The sequence below is a fragment of the Homo sapiens genome, chromosome 12 (genome assembly GCF_000001405.40).
Source record: "Homo sapiens chromosome 12, GRCh38.p14 Primary Assembly".
NCBI classification, from domain to species: Eukaryota; Metazoa; Chordata; class Mammalia; order Primates; family Hominidae; genus Homo; species Homo sapiens.
The window spans coordinates 55,568,895-55,590,251 of NC_000012.12; the positions used below are offsets into that span (position 1 = coordinate 55,568,895).

Sequence of the window (21,357 nt, forward strand, 5' to 3'; positions counted from 1 at the left end):
TTGTAGCATAAGAACACACTAATGCAGGAATATAAATTATTCTCCCATAAAGACACATGAATGTGTATGTTTGTATTAGCCCATTGTCATACTGCTGATAAAGACATACCTGAGACTGGGCAATTTACAAAAGAAAGAGGTTTAACGGACTCACAGTTCCACGTGGCTGGGGAGACCTCACAATCATGGCAGGAGGTGAAAAGCATGTCTCAAATGGCCACAGACAACAGAAGAGAATGAGAGCCAAGTGAAAGGGGTTTCCCCTTATAAAATCATTAGATCCTATGAGACTCATTCACTACAAGAACAGTATGGGAGAAACCACTCCCATGATTCAGTTATCTCCCACTGGGTTTCTCCCACGAAATGAGAGAATTATGGGAGCAACAATTCAAGGTGAGATTTTGGTGGGGACACACCCAAACCACATCATTCTGCCCCTGGCCCCTCCCAAATCTCATATCCTTACATTTCAAAACCAATCATGCCTTCCCAACAGTCCCCTAAAGTCTTAACTCACTTCAGCATTACCTCAAAAGTCCAACAGTCCTAAGTCTCATCCAAGATAAGGCAAGTCCCTTCTGCCTATGAGCCAGTAAAATCAAAAGTTAGTTGTTTCCTAGATACAATGAGGATACAGGCATTGGGGAAATATGCTCATTCCAAATGGGAAAAATTGGCCAAAACAATGGAGCTACAGGCCCCATGTAAGTTTGAAATCCAGAGGGGCTGTCAAATCTTAAAGCTCCAAAATGATCTCCTTTGACTCCATGTCTCACATCAAGGTCATGCTGATGCAAAAGGTGGGCTCCCATGGTCTTGAGAAGCTCTGCTCCTGTGGCTTTGCAGTATACAGCCTCCCTCCCAGCTGCTTTAGCAGTCAGGCATTGAGTGTCTGTGGCTTTTCCAGGTGAGCAGTGCAAGCTGTTGGTGGATCTGCCATTCTGGGGTCTGGAGGATGGTGGCCCTATTCTCATAGCTCCACTAGGCAGTGCCCCAGTAGGGACTCTGAGTGGGGGCTCCAGCCCACATTTCCCTTCTGCCTTGCCCTACCAGAGGTTCTCCATGAGGGCCCCACCCCTACAGCAAACTTCTGCCTGGGCATTCAGGCATTTCCATACATCCTCTGAAATCTAAGTAGAGGTTCCCAAACCCCAGTTCTTGACTTCTGTGCTCCCACAGGCTCAACATCAAGTGGAAGCTGCCAAGGCTTGGGGCTAGCACCTTCTTAAGCCACAGCCTGGGCTTTACATTGGCCCCATTCAGCCATGGCTGGAGAAGCCAGGATGCAGGGCACCAAGTCCCTAGGCTGCACACAGCACAGGAACCCTGGGCCTGGCCCACAAAACCATTTTTTCCTCCTAGGCCTCCTGGCCTGTGATGGGAGGGACTGCCATGAAGACTTCTGACATGCCCTGGAGATATTTTCCCCATAGTTTTGGGGATTAACATTTGGCTCCTTGTTACTTCTGCAAATTTCTGCAGCCAGCTTGAATTTTTCCTCCTAAAATGGGATTTTCCTATCTATCACATCATCAGGCTGCAAATTTTCCAAACTCTTATGCTCTACTCTCTTACAAAACTGAATGCCTTTAACAGCACCCAAGTCACCTCTTGAATGCTTTGCTGCTTAGAAATTTCTTCTGCCAGATACCCTAAATCATCTGTCTCAAGTTCAACATTCCACAAATCTCTAGGACAGGGGGATAATGCTGCCAGTCTTTTTGCTAAAACATAACAAGAGTTACCTTTGCTCCATTTCCCAACCAGTTCTTCATCTCCATCTGAGAGCACCTCAGCCTGGACTTTATTGCCCATATTGCTATCAGTATTTTGGGCTAAGCCATTCAACAAGACTCTAGGAAGTTCCAAACTTACCCACATTTTCCTGTCTTCTCAGCCCTCCAAACTGTTCCAACCTCTGCCTGTTACTCAGTTCCAAAGTCGCTTCCACATTTTTGGGTATCTTTTCAGCAGCACCCCACTTCTGGTACCAATTTACTGTATTAGTCCATTTTCACACTGCTGATAAAGACATACCCAAGACTAGGCAATTTACAAAAGAAAGAGGTTTAGTGGACTCACAGTTCCACATGGCTGGGGAGGCATGACAATCATGGCAGAAGGGAAAAGGCACATCTCACATGGTGGCAGACAAGAGAAGAGAATGATAGCCAAGTAAAAGGAGTTTCCCCTTATAAAACCATCAGATCTTGTGAGACTTATTTACTAGCATGAGAAAAGTATGGGGGAAACCACCCCCTGATTCAATTATCTCCTATTGGGTCCCTCCCACAACATGAGGGAATTATGGGAGCTATAATTCAAGATGAGATTTGGTGGAGACACAGCAAAACCATACCTATGTTCATTGCAGTACTGGTCACAATAGCAAAGACATATAATCAACCTAAAAGTCCATCAATAGTAGACTGGATAAAGAAAATGTGGTACCAATTCACCATGGAATACTATGCAGCCATTAAAAAAGAGCAAGATCATGTCCTCTGCAAGAACATGAATGGAGCTGGAAGCCATTATACACAAATTAATGCAGGAACAGAAAACCAAATACCACATGTTCACACTTATAAGTGGGAGCTAAATGAAAACAAATGGACACAAAGAGGGGACCAATAGGCACTGGGGCCTATTTGAGGGAGGAAGGCAAGAGGAATAAGAAGAAGATCAGAAAAAAATAACCACTGGGTACTATGCTTAGTACCTGGGTGATGAAATAATCTGTACACCAAACCTTCATGACACAAGTCTACCTATATAACAAACCTGCACATGTACCCCTGAACCTAATATAAAAGTTAAGAAAAGAAAATGTGGCTTTTTAGGACCTCCAAATTTTTCCACCTAACCTGTTTGTCCATAGCCAAGTCCAGCTATGACCACCCACCTGAGAAAGAAAAATATAATTACTCCATACTCTTCTTCTCTGTGGCTAATGTTCTCTGGATACCTCCCCCACCACCACCAATGTGTCTCCAAACTAGTCTCCCTGGACCCTCTTCTCTCAGCTGTCTATTTAAAGTTTGTTCCCAAAGTTATTCACAAAGGACATTCATTAGCCTGTTCCAGATGAGGATCCCCCAGGCAACTTGTGTTTCTTCACTCGACTGATCCCCAGTGCATTCTCTCAATAGAGCAGGTATAACCTGTGTCACTCTGGGTAAAGTTTAATCTGGGGTAGGACAGGGAGTTCATATTATGCCTTCTGAGATCATCAGTTTATTTCTCCTACAACAGAAAAATTCAAGACTACTCTGCTTCTCAAAGTCCTTGTTTTAGTGTCCTAGTTATTGGCTATGCTTTAAAAAGAGGATGTCCAAAAACTCTGATTCAGCTCCTGTTTAATTAGTTGAATAACAGATCAGCAAATCCCCACTGAAATGATAAGAAACAGAAGCAGCGGACTACTTCTTACCAGGAAAAGTTTGGAAATTTGTGTATTTCTATGAAATGTAGTATAGAACTTGGTGGCAGAAAAGGTAAAACAAAAAATGCAATAATTCTTATACTATTTTGTAATTATATTGCCTTCTAATTTTAATTTGCCACCAAGAATATTTAGGATTAAAATCTCACAATAGTCATTTGGATAGTCAAGTCAGGAAGTATGTTACCTGTTTATAGCTTCATTTATTTTACTTCTCTGGAGTTGTAAAGACTGAAACTGATGCAGATGTGAATATTCAACCACTCCCTGAAGACTCCAGGTTAGTAACCAGGAGGAGAGGGCATCTGCAGCTGATGCTCTCTGGCTACCATCCCCAGCACCACCAACCCATCTCCAAGCTAACTTCTCTGGACCCTCTTCTCTCAGCTGTATATTTAAAGTTTGTTCCCTAAGTTATTTACAATAACTTTTCTTGATCCCTGATTTCAACTGTTGACTGCAACCCAATAGGAGGTTATAAAATCAATTTAGTGGGCTTCAACCAGCATTTTAAAAAGTAAATAGAAAATATCAGATTTTATCACATGGGTCAGGTACAGTGCCTCACATCTGTAATCTCAGCACTTTGGGAGGCCAAAGTGAGAGGATCATTTGAGCCCAGGAGTTCAAAACCAGCCTGGGCAACATAGCAAGACCCCATCTTCACAAAAAATAAAAAATAATAATTAGCTAGGCATGGTAGTGCATGCCTGTGGTCCCAGCTAATCAGGAGGCTGGGGTTGAAGGATCACTAGAGGCCAGGAGGTCAAGGCTGAAGTGAGTCATGATCATGCTAATGCACTCCAGCCTGGGTGTCAGAGTAAGACTGTGGCTCAAAATACATATATATATATATATTATACCTTATGTGGTAAGGAACGCTCTATAAAACTTTTAAGTGAGATCTATATGTGTTTATTAAAATATATATAATTTAGAATGAATTTTAATCAAGAATGCTTTAAAGCTGCTGCCTTATAAACATTTATAAAAACATAACTAGAAAGAAATCTTGAATAAATCAATAAGGGCACTCCCAGATAATGTGACTCTTTAACTGCATGGGCTCACAAATAAAGTAGAAACTTGAAATGCCCATGAAGTACCCAAATATGGAATCTCCCAGAAAATCCTGTATCATAGTTTTGTACATTTTCCCCATAAAATTCACATGCCCACATACACAAAATGTTTTACACATAATTTAATGGATTCACAGACATAGTAAATCTAATCTAGGGATTAGTAGATCCCTGGTTTAAAAGTTCTTGCTTTAAATATTCTTAAGATCCTAACATTTCCTTGGAATTTAATAGAATCTCCCTATCCTTACAGGAAGCAAAATTCTAGATCTAAAGATTCTGAATGTGTTTGAGGAAATATTCTAATCTAATATTTACTGACCCCTAGAAAGTATGTAGAATGTTTCAAAGGACAGAATAGCATAACCCTAATACACAAATCTTTGAATCTAACAGACAGACATAGGCTAAGAAGTTGGAGGGTCCACTGGAAAGAAGTGGGAAGATGATACTTTTTTTGCTTCAAGGGAATTAAGGAAGCTGAACCTGAAGAAAAATGAGAAATTGCTATATTTATATGAAAAAAAGGTAGGGAAGAGTAAGAAAAATGACAATTCTGAGAAGAGTTAGGCACAAAAAGGAAGTAGGGCAATGAATGGGATCAATGAGAAATAAAGTTAATGTTGGGGGGAAGAAATTCATAACCATTCTGGAAGGAGGTAGCAGCTGGAGGCATTCTTTTATTAACTTATTTCACAATGTTTTGAATATCATTTATGAGGCAGACACTTGCCTCATGTGAGCACTAGGGAGAGTACAATGTGGAAACATAATGACAAGAACTTTCCTCCATAGGGCAAATGGGACTGGGAAGGATCCAACATCATTCAAATGGGCCACTGGTCTGGACTATGTCATCAGAGGAGAAGTTAATCATCCATTTCATTTTTTTCTTGTCAGACTTCATCCGTTCATTTCAGAGCACCTCTTCCTTTCTCACTTTTGATTACTACTCTCTTTTTCACTTTGAGACTCAAAATTTTTTCAACAATGAAAAATAAAACCGTGTTAACTGAGTTTATCCTTCTGGGTCTAACAGATGTCCCTGAACTCCAGGTGGCAGTTTTCACCTTTCTTTTCCTTGCGTATTTACTCAGCATCCTTGGAAATCTGACTATCCTCATCCTCACCTTGCTGGACTCCCACCTTCAGACTCCCATGTATTTCTTTCTCCGGAACTTCTCCTTCTTGGAAATTTCCTTCACAAACATCTTCATTCCAAGGGTCCTGATTAGCATCACAACAGGGAACAAGAGTATCAGCTTTGCTGGCTGCTTCACTCAGTATTTCTTTGCCATGTTCCTTGGGGCTACAGAGTTTTACCTTCTGGCTGCCATGTCCTATGACCGCTATGTGGCCATCTGCAAACCTCTGCATTACACCACCATCATGAGCAGCAGAATCTGCATCCAGCTGATTTTCTGCTCTTGGCTGGGTGGGCTAATGGCTATTATACCAACAATCACCCTGATGAGTCAGCAGGACTTTTGTGCATCCAACAGACTGAATCATTACTTCTGTGACTATGAGCCTCTTCTGGAACTCTCATGTTCAGACACAAGCCTCATAGAGAAGGTTGTCTTTCTTGTGGCATCTGTGACCCTGGTGGTCACTCTGGTGCTAGTGATTCTCTCCTATGCATTCATTATCAAGACTATTCTGAAGCTCCCCTCTGCCCAACAAAGGACAAAAGCCTTTTCCACATGTTCTTCCCACATGATTGTCATCTCCCTCTCTTACGGAAGCTGCATGTTTATGTACATTAATCCCTCTGCAAAAGAAGGGGATACATTCAACAAGGGAGTAGCTCTACTCATTACTTCAGTTGCTCCTTTGTTGAACCCCTTTATTTACACCCTAAGGAACCAACAGGTAAAACAACCCTTCAAGGATATGGTCAAAAAGCTTCTGAATCTTTAAAGAATTTAAGAATTATGCATCGCGACATTATTCACAATAGCAAAGACTTGGAACCAACCCAAATGTCCAACAATGATAGACTGGATTAAGAAAATATGGCACATATACACCATGGAATACTATGCAGCCATTAAAAATGATGAGTTGATGTCCTTTGTAGGGACATGGATGAAATTGGAAATCATCATTCTCAGTAAACTATCACAAGAACAAAAAACCGAACACCACATATTCTCACTCATAGGTGGGAACTGAACAATGAGAACACATGGACACAGGAAGGGGAACATCACACTCTGGGGACTGTTGTGGGGTGGGGAGAGGGGGGAGGGATAACATTGGGAGATATACCTAATGCTAGATGACGAGTTAGTGGGTGCAGCGCACCAGCATGGCACATGTATACATATGTAACTAACCTGCACATTGTGCACATGTACCCTAAAACTTAAAGTATAATAATAATAAAAATAAATAAATAAATAAATAAATAAAATAAAGAATTATCTGTGGGACTAGGTATGAAAAAAAGAGAGAGGAAAAAAAGAATTTAAGAATTTAAGACTTCATTCATGAGTCCCTACTATGTACTAAGCTCTTTGATAGTTACTAAGTACTCAATAAAAAGTTAAACTTCAGTTCAGTGGGAGAGACTTGGAAATAAATTGCAATCTGTTAAGTGTTAATAGTGAAATGAATATGGTTTTATTCTATTTAGTTACTCAATTGAATAACTCAACCTAAGTTAGAGAGAAAATAAATGTTTTCAGAGGGGGTAAAGAAAGAAATTTTGGTAGAATAAATATTGTGAATAGGAGCACAAAATTTCAATCCAAGGAGACTGAGTAAATATTACCACTATTAGTTTCAATCAAAACAAAACAAAAAGCTATGGAGATGATAAATTTAGTTTTGAATTAAGTTAAATTCTCATTTTAAGTAAGTTAAATGCCCATCTGAATTTGGAACCAGATCTATGAATTTCACAATCCTTAACATGTACATAGTAGCTGATGATGTGGGAATAGATGAGGTCATAAATAAAAGCATGTATAGAAAAGGCTTAAATATTAAATGCTAAGGTTCATCCTAAAATTTAAAAAGCAGAAGGGTTAATAAGAAAGGCAATAAACCTATCAAATTTATGGGAAGAGATGTCTCAAGAAACATAGTTTGTTGTCAATGTGAAATGCTGCAGAGAGCGATTAATAGGAAGAATGAAAGTGTGAGAACTGACAATTGGATTGTTGTTGATCTTAGCCATTTTCAGCAAATGTGAAAGTTGGGTAGGAAGTTGGTTTGGGTAGGAAGAAATCAGATTGTTGTGGATTACTAGTGAATGGGAGCTGACAAGTTAGAGAATGATCAAATGGAATTTCGAGAACAGAGAAATGGAAAGAATGAGCCCCAAGTTATATTTCCCCATGGTATTCTGCACTTTTTCACTGATAATATCTTAACAATGGTTATAGATGTAAATCTATATTCACCTCTAGTCTGTAAGGCATAGGAGTGCAGGGATAATAACTTCTTAATCACAATTTCATCTGCAATGCCAAGCAATGGTAAGTGCTCATTAAATAGTTCTTAAATGGATGAATGAATGAAGGATGGATGGATGGATGGATGGATGGATGGATGGATGGATGGATGGACAAATGACTGAGGGGTCTCAGACAGATTTTTTTTAATAAAGGCTCATGATCATTTGAGGGTTTATATACTTTGAGAAAGGAATTATCAAGGCATGCTACATATGGACTTAGATCTGCCTGGAAATTCCACTGTGTTTTACATATGGGGAACTGAAGCTTCAATAAGTGAAATCACTTCTGCAAGGTCACACAGCTAAGTGCCTGCACTACAATCAGAAGCCAAATCTATCTGGTGCTAGAGCCCACCTGCTTAACTATTGAGCCATACAGCCATTCTAACTGGTTTTACCATTTCCTCTCCCCAACACTTCTAATTATTTTAAATGACCTTGATTTTTTTACCTATCTTATTTTTCCAAGCTCTCAACAGCTTTGTTAGAAGCCTTTGGGATATGATTCTCTTTAGGAAGTTGCAAGTATACCCAAGCCCATATTATTCCACCCTATGGCTCTTGACTTCTCTCAAAATCCTTCTCCTTTCTATATCCATATCTCTTGTGAAGAATGTGGATCTCCTGTTTATTTTCTCCCTTTCAGTAGGAACATAAAGATCCCAAAGAGCATGAGAACTAACAAAACAGTATTTTGCTTCCATCTTCCCCTGCCAATAATAAGATTTCAATGAGGATTAAGTAATGAACAAGGAGACTCATATAAGCTGCTAACTGGGCTCACCTCCTCCCTATTTATCTTCTTTCTGAGCTATAAGGAAATGGCCTTGGCTTCTAGACTTGAGGGTACAAATGGTGGTCTACTACATATAATAGTGTCCTGCCCATAATAGGTACTCAATAAATGTTCAATTAGTAAAATAACTAATGTACAAATGAAAAATTTCTTTATTACTTAAGGTTCAAGCAATTGTCATAGCTTTTTTTTATTATACTTTAAGTTTTAGGATACATGTGCACAACGTGCAGGTTTGTTACATATGTATACATGTGCCATGTTGGTGTCCTGCACCCATTAACTCATCATTTAACATTAGGTATATCTCCTAATGCTATCCCTTCCCCCTCCCCCCACCCCACAACAGGCCTCAGTGTGTGATGTTCCCCTTCATGTGTCCATGTGTTCTCATTGTTCAATTCCCACCTATGAGTGAGAACATGTGGTGTTTGGTTTTTTGTCCTTGCGATAGTTTACTGAGAATGATGGTTTCCAGCTTCAACCATGTCCCTACAAAGGACATGAACTCATCATTTTTTATGGCTGCACAGTATTCCATGATGTATATGTGCCACATTTTCTTAATCCAGTCTATCATTGTTGGACATTTGGGTTGGTTCCAAGTCTTTGCTATTGTGAATAGTGCCACAATAAACATACGTGTGCATGTGTCTTTATAGCAGCATGATTTATAATTTTTGGGTATATACCCAGTAATGGGATGGCTGGCTCAAATGGTATTTCTAGTTCTAGATCCCTGAGGAATCGCCACACTGACTCCCACAATGGTTGAACTACTTTACAGTCCCACCAACAGTGTAAAACTGTTCCTATTTCTCCACATCCTTTCCAGCACCTGTTGTTTCCTGACTTTTTAATGATTGCCATTCTAACTGGTGTGAAATGGTATCTCATTGTGGTTTTGATTTGCATTTCTTTGATGGCCTGTGATGACGAACATTTTTTCATGTGTCTTTTGGCAGCATAAATGTCTTCTTTTGAGAAGTGTGTGTTGATATCCTTCACCCACTTGTTGATGGGGTTGTTTGATTTTTTCTTGTAAATTTGTTTGAGTTATTTATAGATTCTGGATATTAGCCCTTTGTCAGATGAGTAGATTGCAAAAATTTTCTCCCATTTTGTAGGTTGCCTGTTCACTCTGATGGTAGTTTATTTTGCTGTGCAGAAGCTCTTTAATTAGATCCCATTTGTCAATTTTGGCTTTTGTTGCCATTGCTTTTGGTGTTTTAGACATGAAGTCCTTGCCCATGTCTATGTCCTGAATGGTAATGCCTAGGTTTTCTTCTAGGGTTTATATGGTTTGAGGTCTAATGTTTAAGTCTTTAATCCATCTTGAATTAATTTTTGTATAAGGTATAAGGAAGGGATCCAGTTTCAGCTTTCTACATATGGCTAGCCAGTTTTCCCAGCACCATTTATTTAATATGGAATCGTTTCCCCATTTCTTGTTTTTGCCAGGTTTGTCAAAGATCAGATAGTTGTAGATATGTGGCATTATTTCTGAGGGCTCTGTTCTGTTCCATTGATCTATATCTCTGTTTTGGTACCAGTACCATGCTCTTTTGGTTACTGTAGCCTTTTAGTATAGTTTGAAGTCAGGTAGCGTGATGCCTCCAGCTTTATTCTTTTGGCTTAGAGATGTAGATTTGGTCTTATTTATTGTTTTCTGGTTGTTTTGTATATCCCTTGTTCCTTACTTCCTATCTTATTGTCTATTTTTGTGGTTGGGTAGTTTCTGTAGTAATAAGATTTGATTCCTTTGTTTCTCCTTTCTCTATTGGCTCTACCAGTGAGTTTATAGTTTTGCATATTTTCACCATGGTGGTTATCATCTTTTCTCTTCCAGATGTATGACTCCCTTGAACATTTCTTGTAAGTCCAGTATGGTGACTATTAATTCCCTTCATTTTTGCTTGTTTGTCACATATTTTATTTCTCCTTCATTTCTGAAGGATGGCTTTGCTGGGCATAATATTGTTGGCTAGCAGGGTTTTTTTTTCTTTCAGTACTTTGAATACATCATTCCATTCTCTCCTGGCCTGTAAGGCTTCTGCTGAGAAATCTACTGTTAGTGAAATGGGGATTCCCTTATACATGACTTAATGTTTTTCCCTGGTGTTTTTAGAAATTTTTTCTTTGTCTTTGGCTTCTGACAATTTGACTAAAATGTGTCTTGGATAGGACATGTTTGGGTTGAATCTATTTGGGTTTCTTTGAGATTCCCGTATTTGGATGTCCAGCCCTCTCTCAAGAATTGGAAAATTTTGACCTATTATTTTATTAAATATGCTTTCTATACCATTTCCCTTATTTTCTTCTCCTAAAATGCCCAGAATATGAATATTTGTTTGCTTAATGGTGTCCTGTAAATCCTATAGGCTTTGTTCACTTCTCTCTTTTGTTTTTCAGTCTGCCTGTGTTATTTCAAAAGACCTGTTTTCAACTTCAGAAATTATTTATTCTGCTTGGTCTAGTCTCTTAAAAGTTGAAAATCTTTATGGTCAAGGACCTCTTGCCACATTACTAAATTCAATGGTGGATGTGTAATAGGTATCTCAAACTCAAGCATTCTAAGTGCCTAATCTACACCACCTCTCCATCTCACCTGACAATCTCTCCTTTCCTCCAGCCCCTGGCAAATTTTGTTTACCCACAGCCCTTCCCAGCTCAATCCCATGGTTTTAGTCTTGAACCATCCCACTAGTTTTGGTTTCTCTGAAGATCTCACCTGATTGGAAACAAGTGCCTATAAATGCATCACTCTGAGCAGCTATAGGTAAAGTTAGCCTCAAGCTGGGCAAAAATGTCTGTGTGAACACTAGTGGGAAGGGACACTTGAGAATCAAATGACAAAATCAATTTGAGAACAAGATGACACAGAAGAATCGAGGCTAGCCCACTGTGCAGAAGGTACAAAGTTTTGTGAGGCATAAGACATATCTGTCTGTACATTAATTGAAGAAATGCTATTCTTTGGGCATGTGTTCCCTATTTCTTGTAAAGGATTAGACAGACTTTTACCCAGGTTCACTTGAACAGCCATATTAGTTGGCTCAACAGCAACAGGATTTACAATTTTTTGAAAGAGGCAGTCTCTTCTTAGGAGAGCAAGCCTCTGAATCTAGGGCATGGATCAGGGTTCCTATTGACAAGGCGGTAGGTGCACAGACTCTGTGGCAGAAGCCTGATCGATACCTCACACCACGGGTTCAGCCAGGGAGTCAGTTGCAGGCTCAATGACAAGCATAGGAGAAAACTGCATCACACGTAATTTAACAAGAACCACTTTGGGCTGTGGTAAATGCAACTTCTAAGGCTACTTCAGAGGTGTTGTAAGAGTCTGCTTTCTGGCATTAGAGCTTCAAGATTCTTTTAAAAAAAAAAGCTACTGTTTTTATTTCTGAAGCTTCTGGTTCTTGAGTGTCTGTCTAGAAGTTGGTTGGTTGTTTAGTGATTCAATGGTCTTATTGGACCCCCTCTAGTTTTATAGACTGTTTTACATTTTCCTTTTCTAATAGGTAGATCCCTGTATTCTGCAGGGACCATGGCCAGTTTAGTAAACGTCTGACTGTAATACCATTCCACTGGCATAGGGACAGACACATGTGCACTCAAAGATCTTGCCACAGTCCGAGTGTCTCTTCAAGTCTCATTACTACATTTATGTTCTCAGCATGCATTTTCATAAAGTGTTGCTTTACGAGAGAAAATTGAGAAAATGGTTTGTGAGAGCGTCCAGGGCATCCATCAACTGGACAACAGTAAAATTTCAGTACGGGTTATCAAACCATTTCTTTTTCTTTTTTTTAACTTTTAAGTTGAGAGATATAAGTGCAAGTCTGCAACTTAGGTAAACTTGTGTCATGGGAGTTTGTTGTACAGATTTCATCACCCAAGTATTAAGCCTGATACCCATTAGTTATTGTTTCTGATCCTCTCCCTCCTCCCTCTCCACCCTCCAGTAGGCCCCAGTGTATGTTGTTCCTTTCTATGTATCCATGTGTTCTCCTCATTTAGCTTCCACCTGTGAGAACATGCAGTATTTGGTTTTCTGTTCCTGAGTAAATTTGCTAAATATAATGGCCTCCAGCTCCATCCATGTCCCTGCAAAAGACATGATTTTTTTCTTTTTTATGGCTGCATAGTATTCCATGGTGTATATGTACCACATTTTCTTTATCCAGCCTATCATTGAAGGGCATTTAGGTTAATTCCATGTCTTTCCTATTGTGAATAGTGCTGCAATGAGCATACGCATGCATGTGTCTTTATAAGAGAATGATTTATATTGCTCTGGATATATACCCAGTAATGGGATTGCTGGGTTGAACAGCATTTCTGCCTTTAGGTCTTCCAGGAATCACCAAACCATTTATTATTGTTGGGTCTACTATTCCATCCTACAGGCAGTGGCTGTTGACCAAGAACATGCTGAGCGTGGGGCTGCTGGGCAGGATCTTGCACAGCCAAGCACTGTGTGCAGGTTATTGGTCCACACTGCCTGGGACAGCTTGATCACCAACTGCTGGATCAGCTCCCAGGCTGATGGCATCAGGCTGCAGGCTGCTGTCCCTCAGCTGGGGTCCCAGAGGCCCCCACAGGCTTGAGGCAGCCTTGACTTCCCTTGTGGCTGCCAGGATGGCCAGGGGGCCAGCCGCCAGCACTGCTGTCAAGGTTCCCATACAGCCACAGAGGCTGATCATCTATACTACTCTCTGATCTGAACTATGATTATCTGTGAGTCAGTTAGTGAAAGATATTCCAACTATATCTGCTATGCTATGTTCCTTTAATTTAGAAAAAGACAAATATGAAAAACATTGTAACCTCAATCCTGAGTAGAGTAAAGGCAAGAGTATAAAAATTTCTTTGTACGTTTCTCTAATTTATTTTACTTTATTTAACACACAAGGAGACAACATTTCTCTACTTTAAATATCTCAATAAAGAATCTTGGTGACCATTTTCATCAAATGTGTAGCATTTGATGAAATCATATATACTTCCTCCAAAATATTATGATATAGCCTCCTTTGTGACAAAGAAAACTCCACAGAACATAATATTCTTGGAAAATACTGTCTCCAGTTTGACATGCCATAGATACTAGGCATGTTAGGCCTGTACCATAATTCAAGTATTGTCTGGATGGAGCTGGACAGTGAGGCAGCTATCTAATCCTACTAGCCATAATACTTTATTTCATGTTAAGTTCCCACACCAATGTTATGTTTGTCCTTTCCCAAAAATATAGAAAATCATAAAAATATCACTAGTAAAAATTCAGACTGTCATAACATTTAGTTCTTCCTGCAATTTTGGAAAATTATCACAATTTCAATAAAATTTCTAAGAACTTAAAAATAGGAAGAGTATCAACAGTAGTTAAAATTCATGGAAATTCAGTGTCTACACCAGCAATTCCTTGTTTTGCTTTCTTTTCTAAAACTGTCAAGAATAATTGCAAATAAATACCCAAAAGGAAGAGATTATATAGATTATAACTGGCTTATTAATTATTTAAATATTTATTGGCTTGAACTGTGGGTGAACAATTCTTTGCATGAGAAAATGCAGGGAAATTCTAGAACTTTCACAGCTTTGCATAAAGTTATTTCTTCTTCATAGGAGCTTCCTGCATCTTTTTGGACCTTTTGGATGTGAAGTCTCTGATAGCATAGATCTAATTACTCCCAGAATATATACATGCTCACAATGTAGCATCATCATAAATTTGATGGGCTAAAACTGTGCCCACCTAGGTCATCCACCTCTAGACTGCCTAGTACCAGGTTCATACTGTGCATATTTAGTGCCTCTGACTGGTCTGATCCTATATATGAAAAGGGTCTCATTATTATATAACAGAAGCTTGTACATCAAAAGTTGATTCAGCACAAACTGTTACCCCTCCCCACTTATGCCCATATCACTCACTCTTTATTCCACACATATTCTCCCTCTCAAGGCCTTTGGCTTTGGCAATTTCTCACAAAGTAATGTTCCCCTGCAGTTCTTGCCTGATTCAATTAACTTCCTTTTATCAATAGCTGTCATTTTTGTTTGTGTTAGCATCTCCCTTTCTCTGATAAATATTTCACCCTGCTCCAGTCTTGGATTTCTGATGGAACTGTCAATCCACTCATCTCTCCTTATTTGACGTCATTGATAAACATACAAACTGGCCCATTCAATTATGATACCACATTCCCCTAGCTAAAAGATTGAGTCAGAGTTAAGCATATGAACCAAGATGGACCTTATGACCTTTTTGATTTAGACTTGAAAGAAAAGAGAGATGGTGCCATGCTTTCTGGATCATAGATTTCAAGGACTATATATTGGAGACTGTCTACTGTCTTCCAAGTGAAAAAATCTGTCTCAAGAAAAACACCAACCTTAAAAGAAGAAAATGGGGAGAGAGTAACTATGTTTGAGTCCCTGTATTCTAGATCTAGTAACACCTGAAACCAGTTACTGCTGGACTTATACATTATGTGAATTATAAATTTCTGTCTTCACTTAAGATAGTTTGGCTTGGGTTGCTGTCATGTGAAATCAAAAGATTCCTGATTATTCCTTCCCGGATTTTAGTTCTGTGATTTTAAACTAAGCTCTACTCTTCACCATAATACACAATTAATACCCAACAAAAATGGAACTTAGGACATTCCAACCCTATTATTGGCCAAAGTTCTAGGTTCTCCCATGTTATTCTATATTTTTCCTTACTTCTACTCCATTTCTGCATTTGACTGGATCCCGACATGGTGCCCAATGCTCCAAGATGCTTTATTTTTTCTGGGATACATCCATGATATAAGATTATCGGTATCACAATCTCAATTCAGGAAACAGTCTTTCACATCTTGATAAGCCACACGTTTTGTCATTCAAGAAAAAGAGGTATAGATGTATGCCATTTTATGATTGCAGAATAATGGTTTATCTGTGTTATCAGGGATTTAGAATTTAAAAAATGGAGGATTGGTTAACCTACTCCAGGATGACTGCAGTAGAAGAACATAGATATACCTCTCATAATGTGACTAGAGTTGAGAATACTTGTATTCCACATGAATATGAGTACTCACCATAAGTCTTCTTCAACAAACAGACATATACATACATCTATTAAAAAGTTGGTAGACAAGCTGACTTTTTCTGTGGATGAGAACCAATCTTATTCTCCACCACTTTAATGCTTGTTCAATGAGCTCAAAAACAAAGTAAACATTAAAGAAGGACTGTAGAATTATGCATGAGACTTTCCTTACCAAGACTCATCTGGCTACTGTCATTGCTGTGTCCAATCTTCTAATAGCAGAAATCAAAGCCAAGCCTATTGCATGGCACCTGCTACTTTCATATGCAATTGGTTAATTAGTTAATTGCTAATTAGTTAATTGCAAAGGGCCCCTTATATTATAGTGGGGCAGCAATTGTCTTCACTGAAACAGCCCTTCCTTTTGGATATGGATTTCTTCTGCCAGCTCAGCATTATCATCCAAGGGCAAACTGGATGATTTATTTACTATCATTTTTATCCCACAATGTTTCTTTTAAACAAGAAAAAATATTATCAAAATTAAATGTATACATATTTATTATATATTACCTTCTACCTTGATGACCCATAGTTTACCAACACAGAATCTATAACTAACTGCAAATTCCCAAAAGAGAGAAGATAATTGGTTCTGTTTGGCTCATGACTACACTTACTTCATTCTCCTCTGGCCAAGTTCATTCTCTTCTAGTTTTCTCAATATGTGGTGTGGGCTGGAAGAGAAAATAAACAATGAGCTATCTTATGTACTATAAAGTTATATCTTTGTCTTCCTCCTGACTCAAGAATTACCCACAAACACATGTTCCCACAAAGCTGTAGACTAGATTGAATCAATCCCTTCTGTAAATTATACTGTTCTGTTGTTACTCCCTCTTTGTTGCCTTTTCTCTAAACTCTTATTGTCCTGGTGTATATGTTATTGCTCTCCAGTAATTTCTCAGGACCATGTTTCTCTTTCCTAAAGAAATCTGTATGCTATAATTCTCTATCACATTGGCTGCTCAAAAATCCATACTTGGCACACTCATCTATTAAGACTCTCTGTCTAAAGCCAAACTGTGATCGGAGGAGAGAGATTGTTCACAAGTTAATCACAGACATCATCTAGGATCAACCTCAAATACAAACATTCCTCTCACCAAACATAGCTGAGAATTAATCCTGTGTATAGGACTCTAGGTCAAAGCCAAACACTGATCCTTCCAAGACCATGTCCCTCTACTCCTTCCAATCTGAAATTCCTTTTGTCAGGGAGAGTCATATTTAGCAGCTATTAGGAGTCACATGACACTTATCATTTCCATGTAAACATTTAGAGATCGCAAGTGGGTAAACTTGGAGAAGTTTGAGCCAGAGTGCCAGGAACAAGTGGAAGAGCAGTTCTCAAGCCTTAGAAGAAATAGAGGAAGAACAAGACCTCCTACCTCTCATCAGAGGACAGTTATCAGGGTACAAAAGACTGAAAGAGAAAAGGAGTTTCTGGGAGGAAATACTAAACCACACTCCATCTCTCACATTTCTTGACCAATGTGTGAGACCATCACAGCAACAGAAGGTAAATGCCCTAACTATCTCCCTCTTTAGGAGTCATATGGTGTAATGAACATTAAGAAAACAAGTTATATTGTCTAGCTTTATACATAAATATAATAAAGGTATTTTATTTAACATTATGCCCAGGACACACTAGACTTCTCAAAAAAACATATCATTGCAAAATGACAGTGCTAAGTCCTTACCTAACAATAATAACTTTGAATGTAATGAACTAATGTCTCCAGTTAAAAGACATAGAGGTCTGAATGAAATAAGAAAAACAGCATCCAACTGTATGCTGCCTACAACAAACTCAATTCATCCTTAAGGACACTACAGACTGAAAGTGAAGAGATGGAAAAAGATATTCCATTCAAATGGAAACCAGAGCAGCAGCTATACTTACATCAGATAAAATATACTCTAAGCCAACAACTGTAAAAAGAGACAAAGGAGGTCATTATACAATAATAAAGGGATCAATTCAGCAAAAGAATATAACACAGATGCAGCAATCTTTAACAAAATACTAGCTAACTGAATCCAACAGCATATCAAAAAGATAATCCACCGTGATCAAGTGGATTTCATACCAGGGATGCAGGGATGGTTTAACATACACAAGTCAATAAGTGTGACATACCACATAAACAGAATTAAAAACAAAAATCACATGATCATTTCAATAGATGCAGGAAAAACATTCAACAAAATCCTGCATCGCTTTATGATTAAAACTCTCAGCAAAATTGGCATACAAGGAAGATACCTCAATGTAATAAAAGCCATCTATGACAAACCCACAGCCAACATAATAGTGAATGGGAAAAGTTGAAAGCATTCCCTCTGAGAACGGGAACAAGACAAGGATGCCTAGTCTCACCATTCCTCTTCACCATAGTACTATAAGTCCTAGCCAGAGCAATCAGACAAGAGAAAGAAATAAAGGGCATCCAAATTGGTCAAGAGGAAGTCAAATTGTCACTGTTTGCTGACGATATAATTGTTTACCTCAAAATCCCTAAAGACTCCTCCAGAAAGCTCCTAGGACTAATAAAAGAATTCAGCAAAGTTTCTAGATACAAGATTAATGTATGCAAATCAGTAGCTTTTCTATACACCACAGGGACCAAGCAGAGAAACGAATCAAGAACTCAACCCCTTTTACAATAGCTGCAAAAAATATAAAATACTTAGGAATATACCTAACCTAGGAGGCAAAAGACCTCTACAAGGAAAACTACAAAACACTGCTGAAAGAAATCATAGATGACACAAATAGAAACACATCCCATGCTCATGGATGGGTAGAATCAATATTGTGAAAATGACCATAATGCCAAAAGCAATCTACAAATTCAATGCAATCCCCATCAAAATACCACCATCATTCTTCACAGAATTAGAAAAAAAAAACAATTATAAAATGCATATGGAACCAAAAAGAGCTCATGTAGCCAAATCAAGATTAAGCAAAAAGAACAAATCTGGAGGCATCACACTATCTGATTTCAAACTATACAATAGGGCCACAGTCAACAAAACAGTGTGGTACTGGTTAAAAAAAAAAAAAAAATAGGGACATAGACCAGTGGAACAGCATAGAGAATCCAGAAATAAGCCCAAATACTTAAAGCCAACTGATCTTCAACAAAGTAAACAAAAACATATAAAGTGGGGAAAGGACATCATTTTCAAAAAATGGTGCTGGGATATATGGCTAGCCACATGTAGGAGAATGAAACTGGATCCTCATCTCTCACCTTATACAAAAATCAACCAAGATGGATTAAGGACTTAAACCTAAGACCTGAAACTATAAAAATTCCAGAATATAACATTGGAGAAACCGTTCTAGACTTTGGCTTAGGCAAGGATTTCCTGACCAAGAACCCCAAAAAAATGCAATAAAAACAAAGATAAATAGTTGGGGTCTAATTAAACTAAAGAGCTTTTGCATGGCAAAAAGAACAGTCAGCAGAGTAAGCAGACAATCCACAGAGTGGGAGAAAATCTTCACAATCTATATATCTGACAAGGACTAATATCCAGAATCTACAACAAACTCAAACAAATCAGTAAGAAAAAAAAGCAAACAATCCCATCAAAAAGTAAGTTAAGGATGTGAATAGACAATTCTCAAAAGAAGATATACAAATGGCCAACAAACGTATGAAAAAATGCTCAACATCACTAATGATCAGCGAAATGTGAATCAAAACCACAATGTGATTCCACCTTACTCCTGCAAGCATGGCCATAATCAAAAAATCAAAAAACAGTAGATTTTGGCATAGATGTGGTAATCAGGGAACACTTCTACACTGCTGGTGGGAATATAAACTAGTACAGCCACTATGGAAAACAGTGTGGAGACTACCTAAAGAACTAAAAGTAGAACTACCATTTGATTCTGTAATCCCACTACTGGTTATCTACCCAGAGGAAAGGAAGCCATTATATGAAAAGATACTTTCACATGCATGTTTATAGCAGCACAATTCACAATTGCAAAATTGTGGAACCAACCGAAATGCCCATCAGTCAACAAGTGGATAAAGAAACTGTTGTGTATATATATATATACATATATATATGATGAAATATATGATGAAATACCACTCAGCCATAAAAAGGAATGAATTAATGGCATTTGCAGCGACCTGGATGAGACTGGAGACTATTATTCTAAGTGAAGTAACTCAGGAATGGAAAACCAAACATCGTATGTTCTCACTGATATGTGGGAGCTAAGCTATGAAGATACAAAGGCATAAGAATGATACAGTGGACTTTGGGGACTTGGGGAGGAGGTTGGGAAGGGGGCAAGGGTTGAAGATTACAAAAAGGGTCTCGTGTTATCGCCCAGGTGATAGGTGCACCAAAATCTCACACATCACCACTAAAGAACTTACTCATGTAACCAAATACCTCTTGTACCACCAATAACCCATTGAGTGGAAAATAAATAAATAAATAAAAATAAAATGTGTTCTAAAAAAAGAATTAATAAAGATCAAAGCAGAAATAAATAAAATTGAGACTAAAAAAATACAGAAGATCAACAAAACAAAAAGTTGGTTTTTTGAAAAGATAAAATTCACAAACCTTTAGCTGGACAGAAAAATTAAGAGAAAACACAAATAAGTAAAATCAGAAATGAAAAAGGAGCCCTCACAAGAGAAACACAGTAATATAAAGGGTCATTAGAGACTGCAATGAACAACTATATGCTAATGAATTCAAAAATCAAAAGTAAATGGATAAATCCCTCAACACATACAACCTACTGAGATGGAGCCTAGAGGAAACCGAAAACCTGAACAGACATGAACAAGTAACAAGATTGAATCAGTAATAATAAAAAGTCTCCCAACAAAGAAAAGTCCAGAACTAGATGCCTTCAAAACTGAATTCTACCAAACATTTAAAGAAAAATTAATATCAGCTATTCTCAAACTATTCCAAAATGTTGATGCAGAGAGAACTTTTCCCAACTTATTCCCTGAGGCCCTGATTCCAAAACCAGAAAAGAACACAGAAAAAAAAAAACCATGGGCCAATATTCCTGATGAACATACACACAAAAATCCTCAACAAAATACTAGCAAACAAAATCAAACAATATATCAAAAACATAGGGAGGAGCCAAGATGGCCGAATAGGAACAGCTCCGGTCTACAGCTCCCAGCATGAGCAACGCAGAAGATGGGTGATTTCTGCATTTCCATCTGAGGTACCAGGTTCATCTCACTAGGGAGTGCCAGACAGTGGGCGCAGGTCAGTGGGTGCATGCACCATGCGCGAGCTGAAGCAGGGCCAGGCATTGCCTCACTCCGGAAGTGCAAGGGGTCAGGGAGTTCCCTTTCCTAGTCAAAGAAAGGGGTGACAGATGGCACCTGGAAAATTGGGTCACTCCCACCCGAATACTGCGCTTTTCCGACGGGCTTAAAA

The 21,357-nt window shown here is 38.5% G+C and overlaps 1 protein-coding gene and 1 pseudogene across 1 annotated transcript; one reads left to right on the forward strand and one right to left on the reverse strand.

The window, feature by feature from the left end:
* The first annotated feature begins 3,573 nt into the window (after positions 1–3,573).
* On the forward strand, positions 3,574–6,718 carry OR2AP1 (olfactory receptor family 2 subfamily AP member 1). The gene is made up of 2 exons (NM_001258285.2): positions 3,574–3,728; positions 5,326–6,718. Exon 2 carries the CDS (start codon positions 5,521–5,523, stop codon positions 6,448–6,450), a length of 930 nt encoding a protein of 309 aa, NP_001245214.1. The 5' UTR covers positions 3,574–3,728; positions 5,326–5,520; the 3' UTR covers positions 6,451–6,718.
* ATMINP2 (ATMIN pseudogene 2) lies at positions 11,483–12,565 on the reverse strand (annotated as a pseudogene).